Source organism: Homo sapiens, chromosome 6, assembly GCF_000001405.40.
Source record: "Homo sapiens chromosome 6, GRCh38.p14 Primary Assembly".
Taxonomy (NCBI): Eukaryota; Metazoa; Chordata; class Mammalia; order Primates; family Hominidae; genus Homo; species Homo sapiens.
The window spans coordinates 62,037,819-62,062,847 of record NC_000006.12 but is presented as its reverse complement, the minus strand read 5'-3'; the positions used below and the strand labels follow the sequence as shown (position 1 = coordinate 62,062,847).

At 34.1% G+C, this 25,029-nt stretch overlaps 1 protein-coding gene across 7 annotated transcripts in view; it reads left to right on the top strand.

Moving 5' to 3' along the window:
- KHDRBS2 (KH RNA binding domain containing, signal transduction associated 2) overlaps positions 1-25,029 on the top strand; it is a 743,556-nt gene that overhangs the window by 223,378 nt on the left and 495,149 nt on the right. For all 7 annotated transcript variants that reach the window (NR_146870.2, NR_146873.3, NR_146874.3 and 4 more), the window contains exon 3: positions 14,854-14,970. Coding sequence is in view for 2 of the 7 variants with exons in the window: in NM_152688.4 (NP_689901.2) it covers positions 14,854-14,970 (117 nt within the window). In the remaining 5 variants the exon portion in view is untranslated. The remainder of the gene's footprint in view (positions 1-14,853; positions 14,971-25,029) is intronic.

Below are 25,029 nucleotides of genomic sequence, written 5' to 3'. Positions count from 1 at the left end.
AAACCAGCTCCTGGATTCATTGATTTTTTGAAGGGTTTTTTGTGTCTCTATTTCCTTCAGTTCTGCTCTGATTTTCGTTATTTCTTGCCTTCTGCCAGCTTTTGAATGTGTTTGCTCTTGCTTTTCTAGTTCTTTTAATTGTGATGTTAGGGTGTCAATTTTGGATCTTTCCTGCTTTCTCTTGTGGGCATTTAGTGCTGTAAATTTCCCTCTACACACTGCTTTGAATGCGTCCCAGAGATTCTGGTATGTTGTGTCTTTGTTCTTCTTGGTTTCAAAGAACATCTTTATTTCTGCCTTCATTTTGTTATGTACCCAGTAGTCATTCAGGAGCAGGTTGTTCAGTTTCCACGTAGCTGAGCGGCTTTGAGTGAGATTCTTAATCCTGAGTTCTAGTTTGATTGCACTGTGGTCTGAGAGATAGTTTGTTATAATTTCTGTTCTTTTACATTTGCTGAGGAGAGCTTTACTTCCAAGTATGTGGTCAATTTTGGAATAGGTGTGGTGTGGTGCTGAAAAAAATGTATATTCTGTTGATTTGGGGTGGAAAGTTCTGTAGACGTCTATTAGGTCTGCTTGGTGCAGAGCTGAGTTCAATTCCTGGGTATCCTTGCTGACTTTCTGTCTCGTTGATCTGTCTAATGTTGACAGTGGGGTGTTAAAGTCTCCCATTATTAATGTGTGGGAGTCTAAGTCTCTTTGTAGGTCACTCAGGACTTGCTTTATGAATCTGGGTGCTCCTGTATTGGGTGCATATATATTTAGGATAGTTAGCTCTTCTTGTTGAATTGATCCCTTTACCATTATGTAATGGCCTTCTTTGATGGAGCTGAAAACCAAGGCTCGAGAACTACGTGAAGAATGCAGGAGCCTCAGGAGCCGATGTGATCAACTGGAAGAAAGGGTATCAGCGATGGAAGATGAAATAAATGAAATGAAGCGAGAAGGGAAGTTTAGAGAAAAAAGAATAAAAAGAAATGAGCAAAGCCTCCAAGAAATATGGGACTATGTGAAAAGACCAAATCTACGTCTGATTGGTGTACCTGAAAGTGATGGGGAGAATGGAACCAAGTTGGAAAACACTCTGCAGGATATTATCCAGGAGAACTTCCCCAATCTAGCAAGGCAGGCCAACGTTCAGATTCAGGAAATACAGAGAAGGCCACAAAGATACTCCTCAAGAAGAGCAACTCCAAGACACATAATTGTCAGATTCACCAAAGTTGAAATGAAGGAAAAAATGTTAAGGGCAGCCAGAGAGAAAGCTCGGGTTACCCTCAAAGGGAAGCCCATCAGACTAACAGCGGATCTCTTGGCAGAAACCCTACAAGCCAGAAGAGAGTGGGGGCCAATATTCAACATTCTTAAAGAAAAGAATTTTGAACCCAGAATTTCATATCCAGCCAAACTAAGCTTCATAAGTGAAGGAGAAATAAAATCCTTTACAGACAAGCAAATGCTGAGAGATTTTGTCACCACCAGGCCTGCCCTAAAAGAGCTCCTGAAGGAAGCGCTGAACATGGAAAGGAACAACCGGTACCAGCCGCTGCAAAATCATGCCGAAATGTAAAGACCATCGAGACTAGGAAGAAACTGCATCAACTAACGAGCAAAATCACCAGCTAACATCATAATGACAGGATCAAATTCACACATAACAATATTAACTCTAAATGTAAATGGACTAAATGCTCCAATTAAAAGACACAGACTGGCAAATTGGATAAAGAGTCAAGACCCATCAGTGTGCTGTATTCAGGAAACCCATCTAACTTTCAGAGACACACATAGGCTCAAAATAAAAGGATGGAGGAAGATCTACCAAGCAAATGGAAAACAAAAAAAGGCAAGGGTTGCAATCCTAGTCTCTGATAAAACAGACTTTAAACCAACAAAGATCAAAACATGGATCATTCTGTAAAGTATAATATGATTTTAACATAGACCATGTTATTTTGAAACATCTGGGGCATATATTGATTAAGCACACAATATATCTAATCAACAGATTTGAAAGGACCCACATTTTTCTACTTAGTATAAATGAATTATATTCTCCAACTATGTGTACTTTCTTCAAATTCAAGTGTTTTCTTCAATAGAGCAATGCCAAGTGGGATTTTTGGGTCTTATAGCAGACAAGAGCAATTGTTTTTAATACTTGTGGTAGATATTTCTCTTTTAAATTTGTTTTAGTTCATATATATATATATAGAGAGAGAGAGAGAGAGAGAGAGACAGAGAGAGAGAGAGAGACCTTTACTATTTCATTTTATAATGTTATACAAATTATGAGATTAAGTATATTGTAAGGTTGGTATCTTGGCCTAGAATCATCATTTTTCCTAATTGCCAAATCCAGTGAATTATTTCACTTTTTCTCAAACTCTAAATTACTCCCATCTATAGCCTTTGCTGTCATGTTGGTTTCCAGATTTCTATAGGTCTTTGTGTAGTCTTCCAATCCTCAAACTGCAGTCAGAGTTTAAATTTACATTTAAAGTCAGCGTTAAATGTAAATGTTAATCATACCACAGCCTACTTCCCACTCACCCCCAGCCCATCCCTCAATTCAAACCCTTCAATTGAACTACATTGCTTTTACCTAAAGATCAGAATTTTCAACAGGGTCAATAAGTGCCTGAATATTTTTTTCTATATCACCCCTTCAAAACGAATTACTTTCTGTTTATCAAATTTGTTACGCTCTTGGGGTTTTCTCACATGTTACTCCTTCTGCCAGGAAAGTCCCCATCAGCACCCTTCTCTCCTGTCCCCGCCCCAACTTCTCATACATCTTAGCTTAAAGCTAGAGAAATGCTTCCTTTCCAGGGAAGGTTTCCTGCTGATTCTGGTTATACATTCCTGTAGAATTCTAGACTTTACCTTGCACATAGTTAGGCACATAATTGTCATATGATACATATTTGCTGATTAACTGATTTATAAAAAGTTTTCCCTTGTTTTTTTAAATTTTGTATTCTTCCAGAAATTATTTACCCTTCTTCCTTATTTTTTCTTCTGAATATACGTGTTCCTCAAGTTTCTTTCCTATGCTATCCTTCTCCCTTAGCAATTTCATGACTTGAAATACTACCCCTGTATAGAAAATTACAACGTATATATTTTCATCTTAGATTTATCTCTCAAGGTCTACCCATACATGATTGCTAGGTTTCTCCATTTGGAAGGCATCTCAAATGGAATATACTCCAATTTTTTCTCTAACGTTTTTGTTCCTGTATTCCGTAATTTTATTAATGGTACACTATCTTTCTAATTATCTGTGATTAGAATTTATTTTGATTACTACTTCACACTACTCTCTTCATATTCCCTCCAACTTAATATAATAAATTGCCATGTCTTATTGAGGATATTGCTTCAGTCTCATCTCCTTTTCTTTCTTCTGTTGTCATCATTCTGCTTCATGTTCCCATTATCATTTATCGAGCTTACACCAAACAACTTCTCATGGGCTCTGCCATGTTTAGCTTTTTCCTGCTCCACTACATCTGCCCCATATGTTTTTTCTTTTTTGGAACTTGTTTCTGTCACTGCCTTTTTCCATACCCAGCTTCAAGCTCCCTATTCAGTGCTCAGTGCTCAGCACAAAAAAAAAAAAAAAAAAAAAAAAAAAAAAAAAAAACTTCCTAACTTTTCTATGTGGAAATAATTTTTTCTTCCTTTGAATTCTATAGCACTTAATCTGTACTGCTTCTATGGCACTATTAGTTTTTTGTTTAAACTACAATATAATTGTTTATGTACAGCCCCTTTCCCCTCAGTGGAGTTCTAAGTTTTCTGAAAGAGGTATTTATATTTGGTTCTTTCATATGTTTCCTAAGTTTCAGGTGCTAAGCAAATGTGGTTACTTGTGAGTGACTGAACTGATTTTATTTTATATGAATTTTACATATTTTATTTTATACAAATATGTCCATTGAATAAATTATATTTGTGGTAATATATTGATATTAGCTTTAATGGTTAATTCTAAATCATTCTGCTTTTCTTCTCTGTTTTCTTCAATACTCATCATTGTCTATTTTGCTACACTGGGATTGGTTTTCTTTGGTAGAAACCTCTGTAAATTCCAAATGAAATTAATTTTACAGGCATAGCTTGATATTTTTGCAATAGAATAAAATAATGTTCTACTCTATTCTAATAAAACTATTCTCTTGCTCACCAATGTTTTTTGATGATTGGTACTATGAATACCTGAAATGTTGTCATTTCCTCTCTATTTATACAAGAAGAATATTTTTGATCTGTGTCTACGGTCCCACTTAGTGCAATCTGCCCTAGATTGCTTTAATTTGTTTTAATGGCAACAAACACAAGGATAGAGCACTAAAGTATGATTTAATGTTGAGTTGCCAAAGCACAGAACAGTCGCTGTGTGAATTCCCACTGATTAAAAAGGAGATTCATCCCCAAATCAGGAATATGATGGACGTGAAAGTAACATTCCAATATTTTCAATTGTTAGGACAAAAGGAATTTGAGTATCAACGAATGATGGAATTCAAGACCAGCTGTATCAAATGAAAAATGAAGAATTCTCTCTGCAGGAGAGATTGGCTGTTCAGGAATTCTTCACAGGTGATGCCAGTGAGCAACACTGGCCTTGCATCACATAGCAGATACAGTTTCAGTGCCCATAAAAAGTGAAAGAGTAGTTGTATTGCCTATCTTATTTGAGAAAGGACAGACTTGATGGAATTAGTTTATAAACATGTGACCAGAAAAATGCCACGTGTAAAAAAAGAAAAGATGTTTTAATGTATTAATGAAATAATGTTAATAATGAAGAATTTAAAAATATATATGCCCAATATTATTGATGTGACTTAATTTTAAACTGTTGTTGGGTAAACTATGTTAAAAATGTCCCTAAAATATTTTTCTTAAAATGGCCTGACACTTATGATAATCACTCGTTTTGCCACCAATTATGTTTTGTTGCTTTTCAAATCCATTGAAATATATTATTTTGGTTAATAGACATGTTATTACAAAACAACTGTTTAATGACAAGCATAAATGAATTTGACTTATACAAATTTAATTGTCTTAAACACGTGTGAATAAAATACCTTGAAATTATTTGAAGATATTTAATCCACTGAAAACACAGCTGTGTTCACTCTGCTAAGCCTTAAGAATCTTAGACATTTCTAAGTTACTAAATTATGGTTAAATATTGAAGACACTGGTGTGTAGTGTTTGATTTATTTTCTGTCTTCAAAAGAGGTTGAAAGAAAAGGTTAGAACCAATTGCTGACTGTGAACTGATAATTCACCTGTCATGATTATGTCAATTGGTTTTGTTTGAAGGGGAACTGAGTATAGGTTGAAAGTAAGTGGAAAAAAATCTTAGTAGAACAACTTTTGTGTTGACTAGTTTCAGTTTATCTTAAAATAAATTTCCAAGAACTAAGAACAGCATCAGAAATATGTAACCAGCTTAGTGATTACTTTTTTTTTCTAATACTTTAAATCTCAAATAGAAATGGTATCTGATCTTTCATGGAAAAGCCTTCTGAGCCTTTCCAGAGTGTTGTCTCCAAAAACTTCAGAAATTGTGGCAGGGATAGAATCACATAAATAGACTTAAACTGTGACAGGTAAATACTTTTGAGCAAGAGCAAATGGTAGATTGTACTTTTATAAATTTTAAAACATGCACATTAAAAGAAAAGTTGCTTACTTAAAATACTTTTATATAGTTAATGTTGCTCATAAAAGCCAACTTTCTCTCACTTTGTGAAACTCAGTCTCTGATTATACAACATCTTCATTCTACTGGCTCTTCGTGTTCTATTTTAACAGAGTGTGTAAAAGAATTTAAGGGCATGATTCTTTTTCAGCTTCACAGTTTGGTTTCAATTTGATTATTGGTTAAAAATAAAATAACTATTGAAATAGAAGTGTTGGGAAATGTGTCGCAAGAATCAAGGCAGAGAATAGAAAATTCTGAAAGTAAGTACCACATATTTATTCTGTCAATAATCTGTCCTCAGCCGGGATTGTGTGAAATTTTCTCTTTTCATAGTCTTAAGCATTCCTGGTGGAGACATCACTTTGGATGACTTGGTATTTCTGAGTTTGATGTTTTACTGTCATCAATAAAGGGGAAAGAAGGTTTTGTAACATAATATGAAAGAGAAGTTCAGTGACATTTAACTCAACTTGAATTGTTCTTAATTTTTAAAAGTTACATAATATTTAATACATCCAACATAATATGTTTAACTTTCATGTGTGGAGTATAAAACAAAATAAAATGAACACTCTTGAACCCATAAGTTAAACCAAAGTCTAAAATATCACCCTTTGCTTTATAATACCTTATGTCTTTCTTTGATCATGTCCCCTATTCCCCATTCCCAGAGATTACCAAGATCATGGATTTTGTGTTTATTATTATCCCTGTTATTTAAGAAATGTATTTGCTACATAGGCATGTGTTCATAGTAGAATATTATTTAATTTTACTTGTTTATGAGTTTTATGTAAAGCGTTATATGTGTAGATGAATTTTCAATCAAAAATTTATTTCTAGGATTAATGAAATTTTATATAGTTATGAGTAATTCATCTTTACTGATCTGTAATATTTCATAGTAATATGTCACAATTTATTTATTCATTTGTACCAGTCATGATTCTGACAGGCAAACAAAAGCCACTCTATATTTAATAGTTATAACCCACAATTCAAGGCTAATATAACTGTGGGAAGAGATGAAGGAAAGGTCTTCAGGAAAGTTCCACCAACAGGCCGTAAAGATGGGAGCCTAAAGCCTCAGAGCACAGGGGAGAAACCAGAGCTCCAGGATATTCTATGAAGCCTGTCATGATCACAGACTGGAAGTTTGAGGAAAGATTTGCAAAACTTGCCAAGACCAAGAACTGGGAATTTGTGGACAGGTCTGTGGGGCTGCCACATCCACGGAGTGAGCACTCACATAGAAGTCAGCAGAGCACCACGTCTGATCTCTATGACTTGCGAGGAATAATGGACTCCAATTCATGTCCGTCTTCCAAATGTGATGCAACTTCTTGATATTGACAAAACCCACCACGAAAGTGAACCTACGTGGAAAGGGATCTGAAAAGTTGTTTTGAGACATAAAAATGCTGGTTATGGTGTGGAGTTGACAACACACTATTCTTGAATTTATCATCATTTTTCCCCACTATTTTTGCTCTTGCAAGGATTGAGACTGAATACTCTTGTACATGTGCCAAGATTTCTCTGGATGATATATCTAGGAATGAGATTGCTGAGGCATAAGGTAAATGGATTTACAGATTGACAAGACACTGCCATTATGGTTGTATTCATTTACACTCCCACAGGTGCGTATATAAGTACATGTTTCTCCACACTCTGGCCAATGCTTGATGTCTGACCTCTTCATAGTCATAGACCTCTTATATAGTGTGTGTAAAATTATGTCATCATGGTCTTAAATTTGATTTGTTTAAATTATAATGCGATTGAATTTCTCATAAGATTTTTCCATTCCCATTCCTCCTTCAATGACACATTTATGACTTTATCCTTTATCTATTAAGTCTTTTTTCTTTTCCTTAGTTCTATATTTGTTTTTGTAAACTACTGCTTTAATGGTAACATGTAATGTCAACCATCTTCAGATTTGTGATTTATGTTTTCACCTACTTTGTGGTGCATTTTCACAAGCAGATATTCTTAATTTTAATCAAATTTTATTTTACAGTTATTGTATTTTCATCATTTTAAAAATATTAGAAAATTTTCTTCTAGAAGTTCTAAAGTTTTATATTTCACATCTAAGTCTATAAACCATCTAGAATTTAGTTTTTCTGTTATGATGTAGGAATTAATTTTATTTCTCTTACTATGGATAGCCTATTATGCTATATATTACGTAGCTCCTTCTTTCCTTAGTATTTTAGTTTCCTATCGCTTCTATAACAATCACCACAAACTTAAACTTCATGGCTTAAAACAAATCAAATTCATTATTTTACAGTTGTGGAGTTCAGAAGTCTGAAATGATTTCTTTGAAGCTGAAATCCAGGTGTCTGCAGGGTTGCATTCCTTTAAGAGGCTCTAGGGCAGAATCTGCTCCCTGACTTTTCCACCTAATAGAAGCTGCCTTCATTCTTTGGCTCATGGCCTCCTTTCATCTTCAAAGCCAGCAATTGTATCCCTCGAGCCCATGCTATTGCCATCACATCTCCTTCTCTGACCCTGCTGCCTCCTTCTTTCTTTTAAAAAGACATTAGGCACAGCTGGGTAATCCAGGATAATCCCTCATCTCAAGATCTCTAATTTAATCACACCCATATAGTTTCTTATGTAGAGTAACATATTTACAGATTCTTGGTATTAGAACATGGACATCTTTAGGGGACCATTATTCAGTCAGTGATCTGTAACACTACCTCTGTCAAATGTCATTTTAACATACACAGGAGTCTGTTAATGGATTCTGGATTCCATTGCTCTATTTGTCTATCTGTGCCCCAGGACTGGATGCTTCATACTGTCATAATTAACACAGGTTTATGATGAATCTTGATATGTGGAAGGAATAGTTCTTGACTTGTTCTTTTGCTTCTGAATGGTTTTGGCTCTTCTTGGACTTTCACTTTTTTAAACAAATTTTAGGACCAACTAATAAGTTGATCCAAACCCTATGGTGATTGTAATTAGAATTACATTGGATATGCAGATGAAATTTAGAAGACTAGAAATCTATACGCCATTGGGAGTTCCTATTTATGAACACAATATATCTCTCAACAAAATGTATTTTATACATGTTCTGTAAAGGTTTGAACATCTGTGGCTAAATTTATTTCTAGAAAATCTAGTTTTTAAAATTCCTATATAAATGGTATCTCCTTTAAAAAAATTCTCTAATTATATGCTGCTGGCATACAAAAATACAATTAACCTTTTTTGTATAACAGCACCTTGCTAAGCTCTCTTACTAATTCTAATATTTTTATGAAAACACTTTGTTTTCTATGTATATAATTATATAAATGGCATTTTTTTACTTTCTGATATTTATAATATTTATCTGTCTTAGTAGATTGTTTGAGTCGTTGGTGCTGAATAAAGTGTCAAGAATGTGCATCTTTACCTTGTTTAAGATTTTTTAAATCAGTAAATCTACTGTTCCTATGAATTTTGAATAGAAGCCTTCTATTGACTGATGATGTTTCCTTTGTTTTTCAGATGATGTGAGTTTGTATAATGATTAAGTTTAAATTCTATCAAATCATTTTTCCAAACAAATAAAATGCTAGCCTTTTTATTCATTAATTTGTTAATGGGTAAATTACAATTAGAGGTTATAAATCTTAAAATACTTGTATACCTATGATAAATAAAACTCAATCATGATGTATTTTGTACATACAACAGGACTTAGCTATGATACTATTTTGCCAAGTGGGTTTTTTCATGTCATTTTTTTTTTCTTTTATGAGTGGCTTTGGTCTATGCATTTCCTTTTCTGATTTGGTTTTGGTATGAAGGTTATATTCTCCTGCTGAGTTCTTGGATATTTCTCCATTTTTTTCTCTGGTGCATAGATTGGAATGATACATTTCCTATAAGTCTAGAGAGATCCCTTTGTGCAACTAATGGGACTGGTATTTCTTTATAGTACATTTCATTATGATTTTATGCTGATTTTATTTTTTAATACATTTTATTGTATATATTTAAGGTATACAACATGATGTAATGGGATAATATAGAGAGCAAAATGTTTACTGTAGTGAAGCAAACTGACATATCCATCATCTCGCAGTTACCCATTATTTTTTTAGGTTTTGTGGCAAGTGCAGCCAAAATCTACTTAGGATGAAATCCAAATACAGAACAATTTTATTACCTATAGTCTACATTGTGTACACCAGGGGTCCCCAATCCCTGGGCTTCAGACCTGTACTGGTCTGTGACCTGTTAGGAACCAGGCCGCATAGCAGGAGGTCAGCAGCTAGCAAGCCAGCATTACCATTACTGCCTGAGCTCCACCTCCTGTCAGATCAACCCTGGCATTAGATTCTCACAGGAGTGGAACCCTATTGTGAACTGCACATGCAAGCGATCTGGGTTTTGCATTCCTTATGAGAATCTTAATGCCAGATGATCTGAGGTGGACAGTTTTATTTCAAAACACCCCCACCCTCCTCCACCCCAACCCCCACCCTCCTCCACCCCCACCCCACCAGTGGAAAAATTGTCTTCCACGCAACTGGTCCCTGGTGCCAAAAAGGTTGAGGATTGCCAGTGTACACTCTGTCTCTAGACTTGTTCATCCTACATATCTCCTACATTTTATCCTCTGACTTACGTTTCCTTATTTCCACCCCAACCATGGTAAACAGTTTCATTTTCTTGGTATTTTTTTTCAGATTCCATATATAAATGAGATCATCCATATTTTTCTTTTTGTGTCTGGCTTATTTCACTTAACATATTGTCCTCCAAGCTCCTCCACATTGTGGCAAAAATGGCAAGGTCTCATTGTTTTTCAGGCTGAATAATATTCCACTATATTGTTTCTTTATCCATTTGTCTGTCAGTGGACACTTAGATTGTTTCCATATCTTTAGTATCATGAATAATGCTACAATAAACATTAAAGTGCAGGTATCTTTACAAGGTGATTTTTATTTCCTTTGGGTATATGCCCAGGAGAGGGATTGTTGGGTCATATAGTAGTTCTATTTTTAATTTATTTAGAAACCTTCATAGGATTTTCTGTACTGGGTATACCAATCTACATTCCCATGGGCAGTCTACAAAAAATACCCTTTTCTGCTCACTCAAGTAAAAATTTGGTATCTTTTGACTTTTTGGAAATAGCTATCCTGATAAGTATGAGGTTGAGGTGGTATCTCGTAGTGGTTTTGATTTGCATTTTCTTGATGATTAATGATGTTGAGCATCTTTTCATATACCTGTTGTTTATTTTTATTTCTTTTTATAAGTGTCTATTTAGATCTTTTGCCCATTTTTAAATCGGTTTTTCTGCCATTGAATTGTCTTAATTCATTATAAATTTTGAATAATAACCCTTAATAGATGTGTGCTTTGCAAATATCTTTTGTTCCCAATCCAGAGGCTGTTGTTCCAGTTTGGCGATTGTTTCCTTTGCTCTGAAGGAGTTTTTTAGTTTAATGTAGTCCCGTTTATTTGTTTTTGCTTTTGTGGCTTGAGCTTTTGGTATGACATCCAAAAATTCTTTACCAAGGCCAGCCTTCAGAGGTTTTGAACCTATGTTTTCTCAGAAATAAATCTAAACATATACAGCCAACTGATTTTTTTTTATAAGGGCACCAATAGAACACAATGAGGAAAGGATAATCTTTGCAATAAATTGTGCTAAAAAAACACTGGATTTCTATATGCAAAAGAATGAAATTGGACCTTTATTATATATCATATGCAAAAAATAACCCAAAACGGATGAGACCTAAATGTAAAAACAGAAACTATGATGTTATTTCAAAAATATTTTACATGAGTTTTTATTCTTTCATTTTGTTTTTCACATTCTCAATTAAAATGCTATTTGCATACAATGAAATAATAGTTCCTAAGAGTGCAGCTTGATAAATTTTGATAAAAGTATACCTATACCTCCAACAAATATAGAGCATTTCTGTCACCCCAGATATTTCCTTCATGCCGCTTTCCAGCCAGTTCAACTTCAGGCTCTGTTCTCAACAGACAACCACTCTTATGAAGTCTAACACCATATATTATTTTTGCTGCTAGAATTTTGTAATAGTGGAACCTAACATAATGTATTCTTTTATATCTGGCTTCTCAAATGTCTGTTAGATACATCCAGGTTGTTGTGTCAATCAGTGGCTAGTTTCTTTCTGTTTACATATAAACTTGTTTGTCCGTACTTCTAGGATGAGCACTTGTTTACATCTGGCTTAATGGTGATTGTGAATAAAGTGTCATGAGCATTCACGTGCAAGTTGTTTTATGAACATATGTTTTTAATTCCCTGGGATAAATACTTAGCAGTTGAATTACTGGATCATAGTGGAACTGTAAGTTTAACTTTATAAATAACTGCCAGTCTTAAAATGATACTACTGTATCATTTTAAACTGCCAACAGCAATTGCAGTAGTAATTACACATCTTCATCAGCATTTACCATGAGTTTTCCTTTAGTTTTAGCCATTCTGGGGTATGTATATATGTGTGTGTGTGTGAGATTTACCATTGATTCGATGGAGTTCTTTATAGATTATAGATATTAGTCATTTTTCAGAGGTAAGGAGTGTTTTCTCTCAGCCTGTGGCTTATCTATTCAATTTTTTAATGAGTGTTTGCATCAGTAGGGCTTTTTTTTCTCACCCCCTTTTTTTTTTTTAACTTTAAGTTCTGGGATACATGTGCAGAATGTGCAGGTTTGTTACATAGGTATACACATGCCATGGTGGTTTGCTGCACCTGTCAACACATCATCTACATTAGGTATTTCTCCTAATGATATCCCTCCCCTTACCCCCACAGGCCCTGGTGTGTGATGTTCCCCTCCCTGCGTGCATGTATTCTCATTGTTCAACTCCCACTTATGAGTGAGAACATGCAGTATTTGGTTTTCTGTTCCTATGTCAGTTTGCTGAGAATGATGGTTTCCAGCTTCAACCATGTCCCTGAAAAGGGCATGAACTCATCCTTTTTTATGGCTGCATAACATTCCATGGTGTATATGTGCTGCCACATTTTCTTTATCTAGTCTGTTATTGATGGGCATTTGGGTTGGTTCCAAGTCTTTGCTATCGTAAATAGTGCTGCAATAAACATAAGTGTGCATGTGTCTTTATAGTAGAATGCTTTGTAGATCTTTGGGTATATACCCAGTAATGGGATTGCTGAGTCAAGTGGTATATCTGGTTCTAGATCCTTGAGGAATCAACACACTGTCTTCCACAATGTTTGATCTGATTTACACTCCCACCAACAGTATAAAAGCATTCTTATTTCTTCACAGCCTCACCAACATGTGTTGTTTCCTGACTTTTTAATAATTGCCATTCTAACTGGCATAAGATGGTACTATCAACAGAATGAACAGGCAACCTACAGAACAGGAGAATATTTTTGCAATCTACCTATCTGACAAAGGTCTGATATCTAGAATCTTCAAGGAACAGAAAAGACAAATTTACAAGAGAAAAGAAATATCATCACAAAGTGGGTGAAGTATATGAGCAGACACTTCCCAAAAGATGACATTTATGTAGCCAACGAACATATGAATAAAAGCTTATCATCACTGATACATTAGGGATTTTTTTTTTTTGGTGCTCTTTGCTTTCTAATTAAGTAATCTCTTCCTAGCCTAGGTTCACAAAGGTTTTTCTAATGCTTTCTTCTTAGAATCTTTATAATTTTAGTTGTCACATATAGTTCTATGATCGATCTCAAAATAAGGTTTGCCTACGTGTGAAAGAGGTCATGAAAGTTTTTTTTTGTTTCCTTTTTTGTTTTGTTTTGTTCTTTTTCATACTGATATTCAATTGTTTCATTACCATTTGTTGAAAACACTTTACTTTTCAAATTTGGTTGCTTTGACACTTTTGCTGACAATAAATTGACCACCTATGTATAGTCTTTTTGGGCATTATACCATACCATATCTATTTACCTATACGTACAACAATCCATACTCCAGTAAAAAAATTGAATAAAAGGGGTAAGAGCAGACATCTTTCTTTTTATTCTGGACTTGGGAAAAAAACTGAGTTTTATACCATTAACTATGGTGTATTTCTTACTGAGGGATTATGGCAGAAAGAAAAAAGAGAAGAGAAGAGAAGAGAAGGGAAGAGAAAAGGAAAAGAAAAGAAAAGAGAAGGAAAGAAAATCTCTGATATAGAAAGCAATTTTACTTAGTCTTACTTATCATTGTTCTTTATGTTCCCAAGATAGTTTTTGGTGCATTCTATGTTCTTTGTATTTTTAGTTTAATCGACGAATTATGGCACAAATTATTACCTCGGTCATTTGGTTTGGAAATGTTCCTTTTAGTAGCTAACATAAATGCTTTCGTAACTGCTCTTAGTTCACTTGTTCTTATTTATGTTTCAAGATGATTAAGCAAATTATGTGGAACCCCAGAATTTTTTATTTCGACAAAGTGTTTTGTATATATGCTTTATAAGTACTGTTTTTTAACTTTTATGTGCTCATATCTTTTATTTACTAAAACAACTCTTTAATATAGACAATGTAAGATTGAACAATAATTGAGTCCCTTTATTCCTGATTATGAAAGTTGTAATAGAAAGTTATGGTCACCAGACAATGCTTAACAAACTTGAATATCAAATTTTATTTTAGATACTAATTTAAAGCATCGATTTTAAAATATTGATTGCAAACTTTTACAATTTTGAAGGTTCATAGACTTACGTTAAAATCATCTCTTATTTCAATAATATAGTTTGAGAGAAAAAGCCTTTAGAAATTCTGTAAACCAGCATGATTGTCCTTAGTTTCTTTCCTTAATAAATGATTCATTTGATTATATATGTAAATGATATTTTCAACATACTTTTCACTTTGGCATTCTTTTAAGAAGAGATATAGCTTTTAAAATGAGTGTTAGATTAGATATCTGAAATGGTTTGGGGTTTGTGTGTGTGTGTGTGTGTGTGTGTGTGTGTGTGTGTATGTTTATGGCATGACTCTCTTCTCAGTGGTAAAGTTTGGAAAACCTATAACCTATCAATTACTCTTGGTGCAAATAATCACTTTATTGTACCTTAAAACAGACATTCTATTGATTTTGTTTCCTAGTTCAATTTTGTGGGGAAATTGCTTGGACCAAGAGGAAACTCCTTGAAGAGGCTACAGGAAGAAACAGGTGCTAAAATGTCTATCCTGGGCAAAGGATCAATGAGAGATAAAGCTAAGGTACTGAACTTTGAATCTAATATTTACCACATTCAGGAGGTTACCTATAACACTGAAGGCCAAATTTACAAGCATGCCTGAACTGCTCTTTCACCATTTCCTATGATTTCCATTTCCTGGGATCACCCTGTGTCACTTTCTGCTATCTCCTCTCTCTTCCTAAAAATCAATTATTGGCCTCCCTTCTTTTTCTTTCCAGAAAGTATATTCTATATTTTCATTTTCTTTAGTCCTTTGTGTAGGTTGCTGTCACATCTTTTCACTTTTTCTGTGTCCTCTGTAGAATGTTTCTATATGTCTGTGTTCATTTTCTTTAATTCCCTCGCTGGTTCCTTTTTCTTTCTTCAATCATATCACCTAATAACATCCATTGTATCATTCTCTCATTTTATCTCTCTGCTCTATTTCACTTTGATCCTCTTACCTGAAGCAATTTCTAATACTTATCTGCAAATCTAAGAGAATCCTGCTTATTTCTTGAAATGCTTCAATGATATTAAACAACTCACCTGACCCCCAAAAGAACAATAAGAGATCTATCAAGTTTGATGTTTGAAATGATTTATTTCACATCTGTACTACATTATTTCTTATTTTATAAAGTGTTAGCAATTTTCTCAGTGTTAGAATTCAGTGTTTGGGAGAAATGACAATTTGTAGAGATTTATTCCAAAAGGATCTTTGAGGATTCACTGCGAAAGGCGGGATGTATTTCGTAGTATCATTTGACCAGGCCACACTTTTGTGACTTGGTAATGTTATTATGGAGAATGAAATGTTTAAATATTTATTTTTGAGTATGAGAATCCTTAGAAAATTGCTCAGGAGTCCTGCATCTGTGTTAATGAGACATATTAAATGAGGAAATTTATAGTGTGAAATGTCACTGAACTGGTGAATATATCATACATAAAGTATCTTTACTGTAGTAAGTCTACATTAGGAGTTTTAGCAAAACTCTCCATTTGGGTGCTTTCTTAGAATGGTTCAATAATCAACTGTAGAAAGTCACAGACGGAATGATTTTTACTAGCCCTTTCTTTGGGATAACTTTTGATTACTCTATACTGTGTACAATTTCAGCAACGACTGTATTCTTGCCAATCCTCCTGCCTCTAGATTCTCTGACTACACTTAAAATAAATATTACAAATATTTAAGAGGTGAGCACACCAGCATCTAGACATGAGATAAGCTTTTGTCCTGCCACAAGTTTAGATTTTCTTTATATAAGAGGAGAAAATGACACATAATTACCTATGTCTGTACTTTCATGTATTCTTTAATATTGTTTTTGTTATGAATTTCCCAAATACTTCATACTGTTATATTATAAACTTCATATTGTGTGTTTTTACGGTCTCACACATTCTTTAAGATTTCAGCTTGTCATCATCTCCCCAGCATGGCTTCCCTGAACTCCTATAATAGGCTAAGTACTCTTTTATCACTTAACATATTTTACTGTATCTGTTTTTATCTCCAGGATGGAGAACTGTTCTAGTTAGCTTTGCACATGCAGAATCTACATGTAGTATTTCTATATCTTTTAAAACAGATGGATACATATTTTTAATTCTCATATATTTGGACATTTTTTCCTGTTCATAAAGTTTTAAACTAAATTTGTTTTTCCCTGTGAGCATGTTAGGTACCAGCAAAAGTATTGGAAAATCCAATAGGAAACAAATTTGCTTCTATTAAGTTTCCATGAGGTTTAATTTACTAATATTACCTGTTACTTACAATTCAGTTTCTTATTACTCTTTGTGTGATCCATCATGTTTGACTATGATTTGAGTGTTTTCACTTTTTACCAAATTAAATAAAATAACATATTAAATAATAATAATACATTGTACTGCAAAATATTTTTTAGAATTAAGATAAGGCCTTTTTTTCTTTCTTTTTCTTTCTTTTTTTTTTTTGTTCCACTTGCTTGCTTTTGAATGATAAGGTCTTAACTTTCTCAAGTATTGGACACCTAGCTGAAATAAAATCACAGGCATGGATATGAAAAATCTACCTTAGTAAACACTTGATTAAAATAAAAGATAAATCCTTGGTAAATTATTGATTATGATGCTGTTATTTTGCCTCTGCATCACGACATAAACAGGAAAGAAGATTTTACATAATTTTGTTTTTTCTAATTATTAAATACATCACATGGGATTGTGCAATAAAAGTGTATATGTGTGAATCCATACAAACCGGCATATGTTCATGCATTGATTATTTATTGAACACATTTTATGTAATTCACAGTTCTAATTTATAGTAATGAATACAAGGTCTTCCTCTCTTAGAGTTTACATTCCAATGGGAAAGACAGATAATAAATATATGAATACATTTTATACTTTTAGGACTTGATAATTTTTATGGATTTAAATGAAACAGAAGCAGGGAAAAGAGGTTAGTGGTGTTGGGAGCAAATTTTGATACAGTGATCAAGTAGAAAGAACACTGGAAGATGAGAAGGAGCCAAACATAGAAATATCAGAAAGGAGAGAGAATGCCAAGTGTGACGGCCCTGAGGGAGAATCTGTACTTTATGTATAACCATAGCTATATCTAAAACTATTATGACAACTATAGCCATATATTTATTTAATAAATATACTTATTCCCCTTTGGCTACCATCTGATTTCTTTATAGTAAAACTCCTGGAAAGTAATTCGCAATCACTGGCTCACCTTCATTCTTTATTGTTCCCCTCCTCAGTCTCTGTGACTGGATCCTCTTGTTCCAGACCTCCAAGCCCAGACTTGGTCTTCAGATTTCTTTTTTTCCTTCATGTTCTTATAGCACCAATGTGCTCTGAACCTCAAATTTATGTCCAGCTTCCAGTCTCCCCCTTAAGTGCTAGATGCTAAATTTATATATTTACCTACTCAACATGTCAATGTGGATGTAACAGGCATTGAAATGTAATATGTCCAAGGACACATACCTACATACACATAAGTATGTATGGGTATGTATGTTGACAAAGACTCTCCTTGACCAAACTTAGGCAGGCCTCTCAGAATCCTCTTCTCAACTTTGCCTGACTTTACAAAGATTAGCCATGTTTAAAATTTAGATCAGCAAGTATTAAGAAGTTCAACATGCAACTGCCAATCTTTTTATCCAACAGAAAAACTAAATAACTGAAGCCACATGAGGGGCTCCTTGTGTGCTTTACAAAGCCTGGGTCGGCACTCTTCTCTGTGGTTTCATAGATAGGTGACTTTGCAGGATATATTGTTTAATAAACATGTTTGCCTCACCTTTATAAGACATGATAATGCAGATTGCTTTTCTATGTTGGGTATGCTGCTAAGGTACTACAAAATGTATGTCTTTTTTCTTTTTCTTTCTTTTTCTTTTTTTTTCTGACAGTGTCTCATTCTGTTGCCCAGGCTGGACTGCAGTGGTACTATTGTGGTGCAATCACAGCTCACTGCAGCTTTGACCCACCGTTGGGCTCAGGGCTCGAGTGATATTTCCACCTCAGCCTCCCAAGTATCTGGGACTACAGGTGAACGCCACCACACCTGGTTAATTTTAAAATTTTTTGTAGAGATGGAGTCTCCTTTTGTTGTCCAGGCTGGTCCTGAACTCCTGGATTCAAGTGATCCTCAAGTGATCCTCCTGCCTCAGCCTGCCAAAGTGCTGGGATTATAGATGTGAGCCACTGTGAGCACTTAAGCGGGAGACTGGAGGCTGGACATAAGACATACAAAGTATGTCTTAAACTCGATCTTTACTTCATGATAAAAGAAGATATTTGGTTGTGTAAGTCAGGGAAAAAAATCAAAAATATTTATTCCATATCTACTATTACTTCAAGAATAGATTCAATATTATGCTATATAAAAAGTATTAGACATGAGTCACAAAGCTTGATACTTAATTAAACATATTGACCAGTGTAACATTTTTTTAAAAAAAATTAAGAAAATAACAGTCATTCGGATTAGTAGGTAGATAGAATGACAAACTCATTTCGTTTTGTTTTTGTGGATCTAATAATACTTCTTAATCCTTACATAAGAAAATACGAAGTATTAAGATATGTTTCCAGATCATTATAAAGTTAATTGCATCATATATAAAATAATTCTAGTGGTATCTAATAAGAAGATTCAAGTTTAATGTTTTTCTTTGTGTTATCTCGTGTTGGGGAAACATTACTTTTTGTTTAGTTATACCTAGCCGATAACTCTGTAAGCAGAAAAAGAAAATGAAAACAAAGTAAAATATAATAATATTCAAGGTAATACCAGTAGCAAAATCCTACCATATAGTCATGATTTCTTTCTCGTATTGGTCAGATCCCACAATATATGAACTCACATCCTACTTAAGACCAGCCAGGAATGCTTGCACAGAAGCTACATTTTAAATTGTGAGAAGAAAAAGTATTCTTAGAGAAATCTAGAAAGGAAAATATACAGCATGTATGAAATATTTCAAAATACCTCAGGAAATTAACTAGCAGTTTAGAAAGTTCTTTAAAGTCTAAGTCCTTCATATACCATATGGCCAGCTGGTTCTAAACAACCACAAAGCTGCTGGTTTCACTGGTAGTTGCTTCTGAGCAATGTTCAGGGTAACTTACTGTAGCTTCAGATAGAGTGTTGCTATTTTGGGGGGTGTTGATGGCAAAGACTGGTGAGGGAGAACAGAGGAAGCAGTGGTTCTACAAGCTTATTTTTGAAAACTGTGACAAATAAACATATTCTCTCCAAGAAAAAAGGTTAGAGGGGTTAGAGAAAATCAGACAATAGCTGAACACACCCAGACAAGAGTGAGGAAAATAGGAGATCTTGAAAGCAAATTTCTTAGACTCACCTATTGTCCTTAAATGGAAATCACAAATGGACATGTTGTGAACAAATTATGTTGTAATGAAAGGTATTTTGGCATTTCTGTTAATAAGCTTGGCTGAAATTACGAAATGGGGTATTAAAGCAGTCTCATGATTATATGTTAAAAGTACAGTGCTGTTTGGTGGATTTTTATTTGAAAAATGTGTAATACTTCTCAAGGCAAGCTTTTCTGTCTTTGATGCAGTAATAATGTGCAGTTTCTATTCTAGAATATTTCTTCTGCATTTGGTGATGACTACTTTAGTAAATTCTTTCTGATTTCATGGCAAATTGATTTTCATCAACAGTAAAATCAACAAAAAACCTTCAAAGAGATGTGGCTGCCTAGTGGGCAATATGGGTGTGAACCTAGCACCAGCCATCTCTCATCTGGCTTCTGGGCTCTGCCTAACATCAAACAGCATAATAGTCTCTCAAATCCTGAAGGGGTGAAGTCATGCTCATTGCTTGTCAGTCAGGCTGTGACTGGTTACATAGACTCCTGTTTCAACTCTTTAATATCTTGAACACCAAAGCAGTTTATAATCCTACAAAATCAAGAGCCCAGACACCCTGACTTTCATTTTAGCTGTGCCTCTAATGAACTGCACAGTAGATCAACAACATTTCTTTCTTGACTGGCCTTCTGAAGGAAAGAATGCCTAACTCATTTTGACTTCCAGCAGAGTTAAAGGAATCAGCATAATAACTTGCTTAAATATCATTTGTGTTTGTGAAACATAAGCAGAGTATTATAAAATATAGATAAGTGGAATTTTATTTATGTTTGATTCATTCAACTTTCCTGTTTCTCTGATTTGAATTTTAGAGTAGGAGTAACAGACTGAAAGGTCCTTCCTGAACCATAGCTCTTGTGATAAGAAGCATTGTGTTAAAATATATATATTTGTGGGAATACAATGAAACTTATGTTGCAACGTTTAACCAATAGATTATTTCAGTATGTGTTATATTTGGAATATACATGACCAAATAATTAATTAGGTTTGATTTGAGGAGTGAAGTATATCATCATATTTGTGAGACAATTTCTCAAATTAGCATCTTCATCTTTTGTTGTATGAATAATTTATCATTCAGTGTAGTGTGCCTGTGACCTTAGAAAGAAAAAAAAGCCATAAAGTTATCTGGGCTCAAGTTCTTCATAAGCTTCAATAACAGGATATGGGGTAGTAATGTTTTATGAATTTTGAATCAAAGTTATATATTATCTTAAATCATTGATTTCCTCTCATCTGATTTTATTCGCATCTAGACAAATTCCTTTTAATTTTTGTAATTAAGACCTGCTCCTTGGAAACTTTCAGGGACCTAATGACACAGCCATAAACCAAGTTTTATATACAGAAAACATTTTATTAATGCTACTTGTATAGTAACTTGTCCTCATTGTCACTTGTGACTCATTATTTGTACTGTACCCTTATTTCCCTAGAAGAGTGAAATGAGAGAATCACAGAATCAGGGTCTCTCCCACCATATTGTAAGACATTTTTGTTTACTAAGCTATTAAAAAAGAATGTATGAAAATAGAAATTTTTAGACATTTTACAATTTATAAGCCAGAATTATAATGATGTAGTTCTTTTCTACCACTGAGGATGGTCTATTATTTTAGGTCATAAGCTTTACTGCTGATCTGAAATTTTTTTTTCTTTTTTTATTGAGACGGAGTCTCATTCTTGCTGCCCAGGCTAGAGTGTAGTGGTGCAGTCTCGGCTCACTACAACCTCCACCTCCTGGGTTCAAGTGATTCTCCTGCCTCAGACTTCCAAGTAGCTGGGATTACAGGCGCCCGCCACCATGCCCTGCTAATTTTTGTATATTTAGTAGAGACAGGGTTTCACCATGTTGGCCAGACTGGTTTTGAACTCCCGACCTCAGGTGATCTGCCCGCCTCAGCCTCGGAAAGTGCTGGGATTACAAGTGTGAGCCACCGTGCTTGGCCTAAAAATATTATAGTAAAAGTACAAATGCAATATAACCAATATGGAAAGGGGCCAGGTTATATATCTGGACAATATTTTAAATTTCACATTCTGTGGAACTTTTAAAAATGGCTGCAAATTATTTGACATTTATTTTAGAGAGAGATGAATAGGGTCCAATTCTCTTCCCCTTGAATCTGGATAGTTTCAGTGACTTGCTTGTAACCAATAGAATGCAGAGTAGTGTTGGTTCGTGATTTTGGGGGCTACATTGGAAGAAGCTGTGTACCTTCTTTCTCATTTGCAGAAACACTATGTCTTAGAGTTTAAAGGTGCCTTGAAAGGATTCTGAAAATCCTGATGCTGCTTACTGTGAAGAAAGCCAAAATTACATCGAAAGGCCATGTATAGGTGCCAGTGGGCAGTCCTACTTTAGTCCAGCCTTTGAGTCATCTTAGTGCAGGCTTTACACATGCGAGCAAAGAATTCACCAAATTATTCCAGTCCTTAGCCATTTGAGTGATCAGCTACTCAAGTCTTCCTATCTATGGCCCAAAAAATCCTGGAGCAGAGATGCAAGCTGTATTCATGGTACACTACCTAAATTTCTGACCCACAGAAACCATGTATATGATAATAATATTAAAATCATTATTTTAGACCACTAAATGTATCATGGTTAGTTATGCAACAATAAATAACTGGAACACATTATTACTACTTTATATGTAAAATTCTCTTTTTGCATTTCTGCTGCCTTCTAATGGCGATAAGCGCAGATTGATCATTTCTAGACGGGTGTGTGTGTGCGTGTGCGTGCATGCGTGTGTCTGTTGGGTGTTTGTTTTTAGTTTAGTTTTGTTCTGTATTGTATTGTATTGTATTTACAACTTATTTTGAATTTGCCTCTCCCACCGTCAAATAATTGAAGCACATGTCAACATTTTATTTAAAACTTGTCAAATAAAAGGCTGCCAAGAGAGGCAATTCAAACATTTCTTCTTGGTAGAGACGTTTTATGAGATACTAGACATCAAAAATAGAAAGCTCTAGTTTAAAAAGCATTAGGTTAGTCATAAAGCTGGTTTAAAGTCTTTCTGCCTTTGGATATCTGATTTAATGTCACAAAACTCAAGGTTAATTGGGCAGGTGATTCCAGTTTCTCTGTAAGTCTTCTTAATTTTACTACAACTTGACAAAGCAAGTGTTCTAGCATTTTACTAGGGATGCTAGATGGATCCCAAAAGCGAAAGTAAATGGCACTACACAGAAAGTACTGCCTCAGACCAAGACTGGAAGAGTTTTTATTTCTTAGTTCCTCCTTTTGAACATTTTAGATTGTTGAAGATTTATCTTGATCAACAAAATGTTCAATATGGTATTTTTGTGGGGAGACTATTAACTGAGCTTGTTACATCATTAGTCATTTCTTACATTTTATTGAAGGAAGAATTTAGATATGAGATCAGTCTGTGCAATACCTAGACCAAGATTACTGGGAATATATGTGCCCATTACATTATTTATTTTAACCAGATTGTTATATTAGAGAAAAATGAGAGAATCCAAAGGCAATTAAGTTTAGAAATATATATTTGTATACTATTAATATATATTTAGTACCACATACATATTATTTAGCAGATAATCTCTCTCTCCATACATACATATATATGAATTTAGAATGAAATTCAAAATTGTATGAAATTCTATATATATATATTTCTGCTGTCCTCTAATGGCGATCAATGCAGACAGATAATTTCTAGAGGGGTGTGTGTGTTTGTGTGTGTGTGTGTGTGTGTGTGTGTGTTTGCCTGTGTATCTATATAGATATGTACATGTTATTTTATTTAATAGAAAGCACCGATCAACACATAAAACACCCATAGTTGTATAGCAAACAAATCTAGAGCATGTATAATTTCTCAAGTTCTGTGTTGCATATTTTACTTTTTAAAATATTAAGATTTGCTTAATTTTTTTATACTGGATTCTATCTTTGCTTTGCCTACAAATTCAGTAACCAAAGCCAAGACCCACATTAATAAGTTACTGTTCTAATATAATTGAATATTAGAAAGAAAATTTACTTAAATAGCTTTATTTTGCTTGTTGTAACATACAATACATTATTAATTAATGGGTAATTTTAATGTCAAACCCTGTGGGAATGGTTATTGAAAAAGCAAAATAATAAGGATATTTAATCTCTTAGAAAAATCTTTGATGCAAAGGTTGTTGTTGTTATTATTTGTATGGTTTTAGAAAGATCCTGTTAAGTGTTTATTTTAATAGTTGAAATGACCCCAATATAAGCCATGTTTTTTAAAGAGAAACTTAGACAACTTGTTCTAGCATAGCTTGGGGAATTTGGAGGTACAATTAAGAGGATAATGGGCCCAGAGTGGGAATGTTAACGAGAAAAATTCTGCACTTAACTCAAGTGCGTCATCAGCAGTAATTTAGATTCTGAATTTCATTAGTTGCAGTGATGTTTATTTGACAGTGATCTATTTTCTTACCAGTTTTTTAAATTCACAAGTCATTCAAAAGTTGAATAGTAATCTATTTTTGTCAGTCATAAATATCTGAATCATTCCTTACTTGAGTAGAGTTGTCATGAATGCTTGAAAATTTATTTGGGCTCTTCACAATCATTGTTAAACAGTAGAAAACTGTTTTCTGGCTTTAGTTAATGACACTAAACGGAGCTCAAAGAAAGACCAAAAAAGAAAAAAAAAAAATCAGCAGCTTCTCAATCTAATGAATAACAACACCGCAGAGTTTACTTTTAATTGTTTTCTGGGTGTATGGGTTCACCAAGAGTGAAGTCAAAAACACTGAGGAAAATGAAATGCCAGGGATACAAATAAAAATTTACATATTTTGATGTAAACACAACGATTGGACCACTTGATTTTTTTTGCAGCAGGACAGTGTTTTATGCACTTCCGGGGATGCTGATCACGAGGCATTTCATGTGAATAGTGCCTCTGAGTTGTTCCATTGTGGCAGTTAAGCCAGTCATAGAAACAAGCATACCAAATGCCAATAAAGGAAACACATTTATGTATTTTTGCTTAATATCTAAATATTAGAAATCACTAACACCCATTATGAATAGATTTCCTTTTAAAATATTATATGCAAAGTAGTTTACTCTTTGCATATTTTTGTGCAAACTTAGCATCTTGTTTTAATTTTGAAAATACTAACATTAAATTTCTTTGCTTTTTGAGGTCAGAGT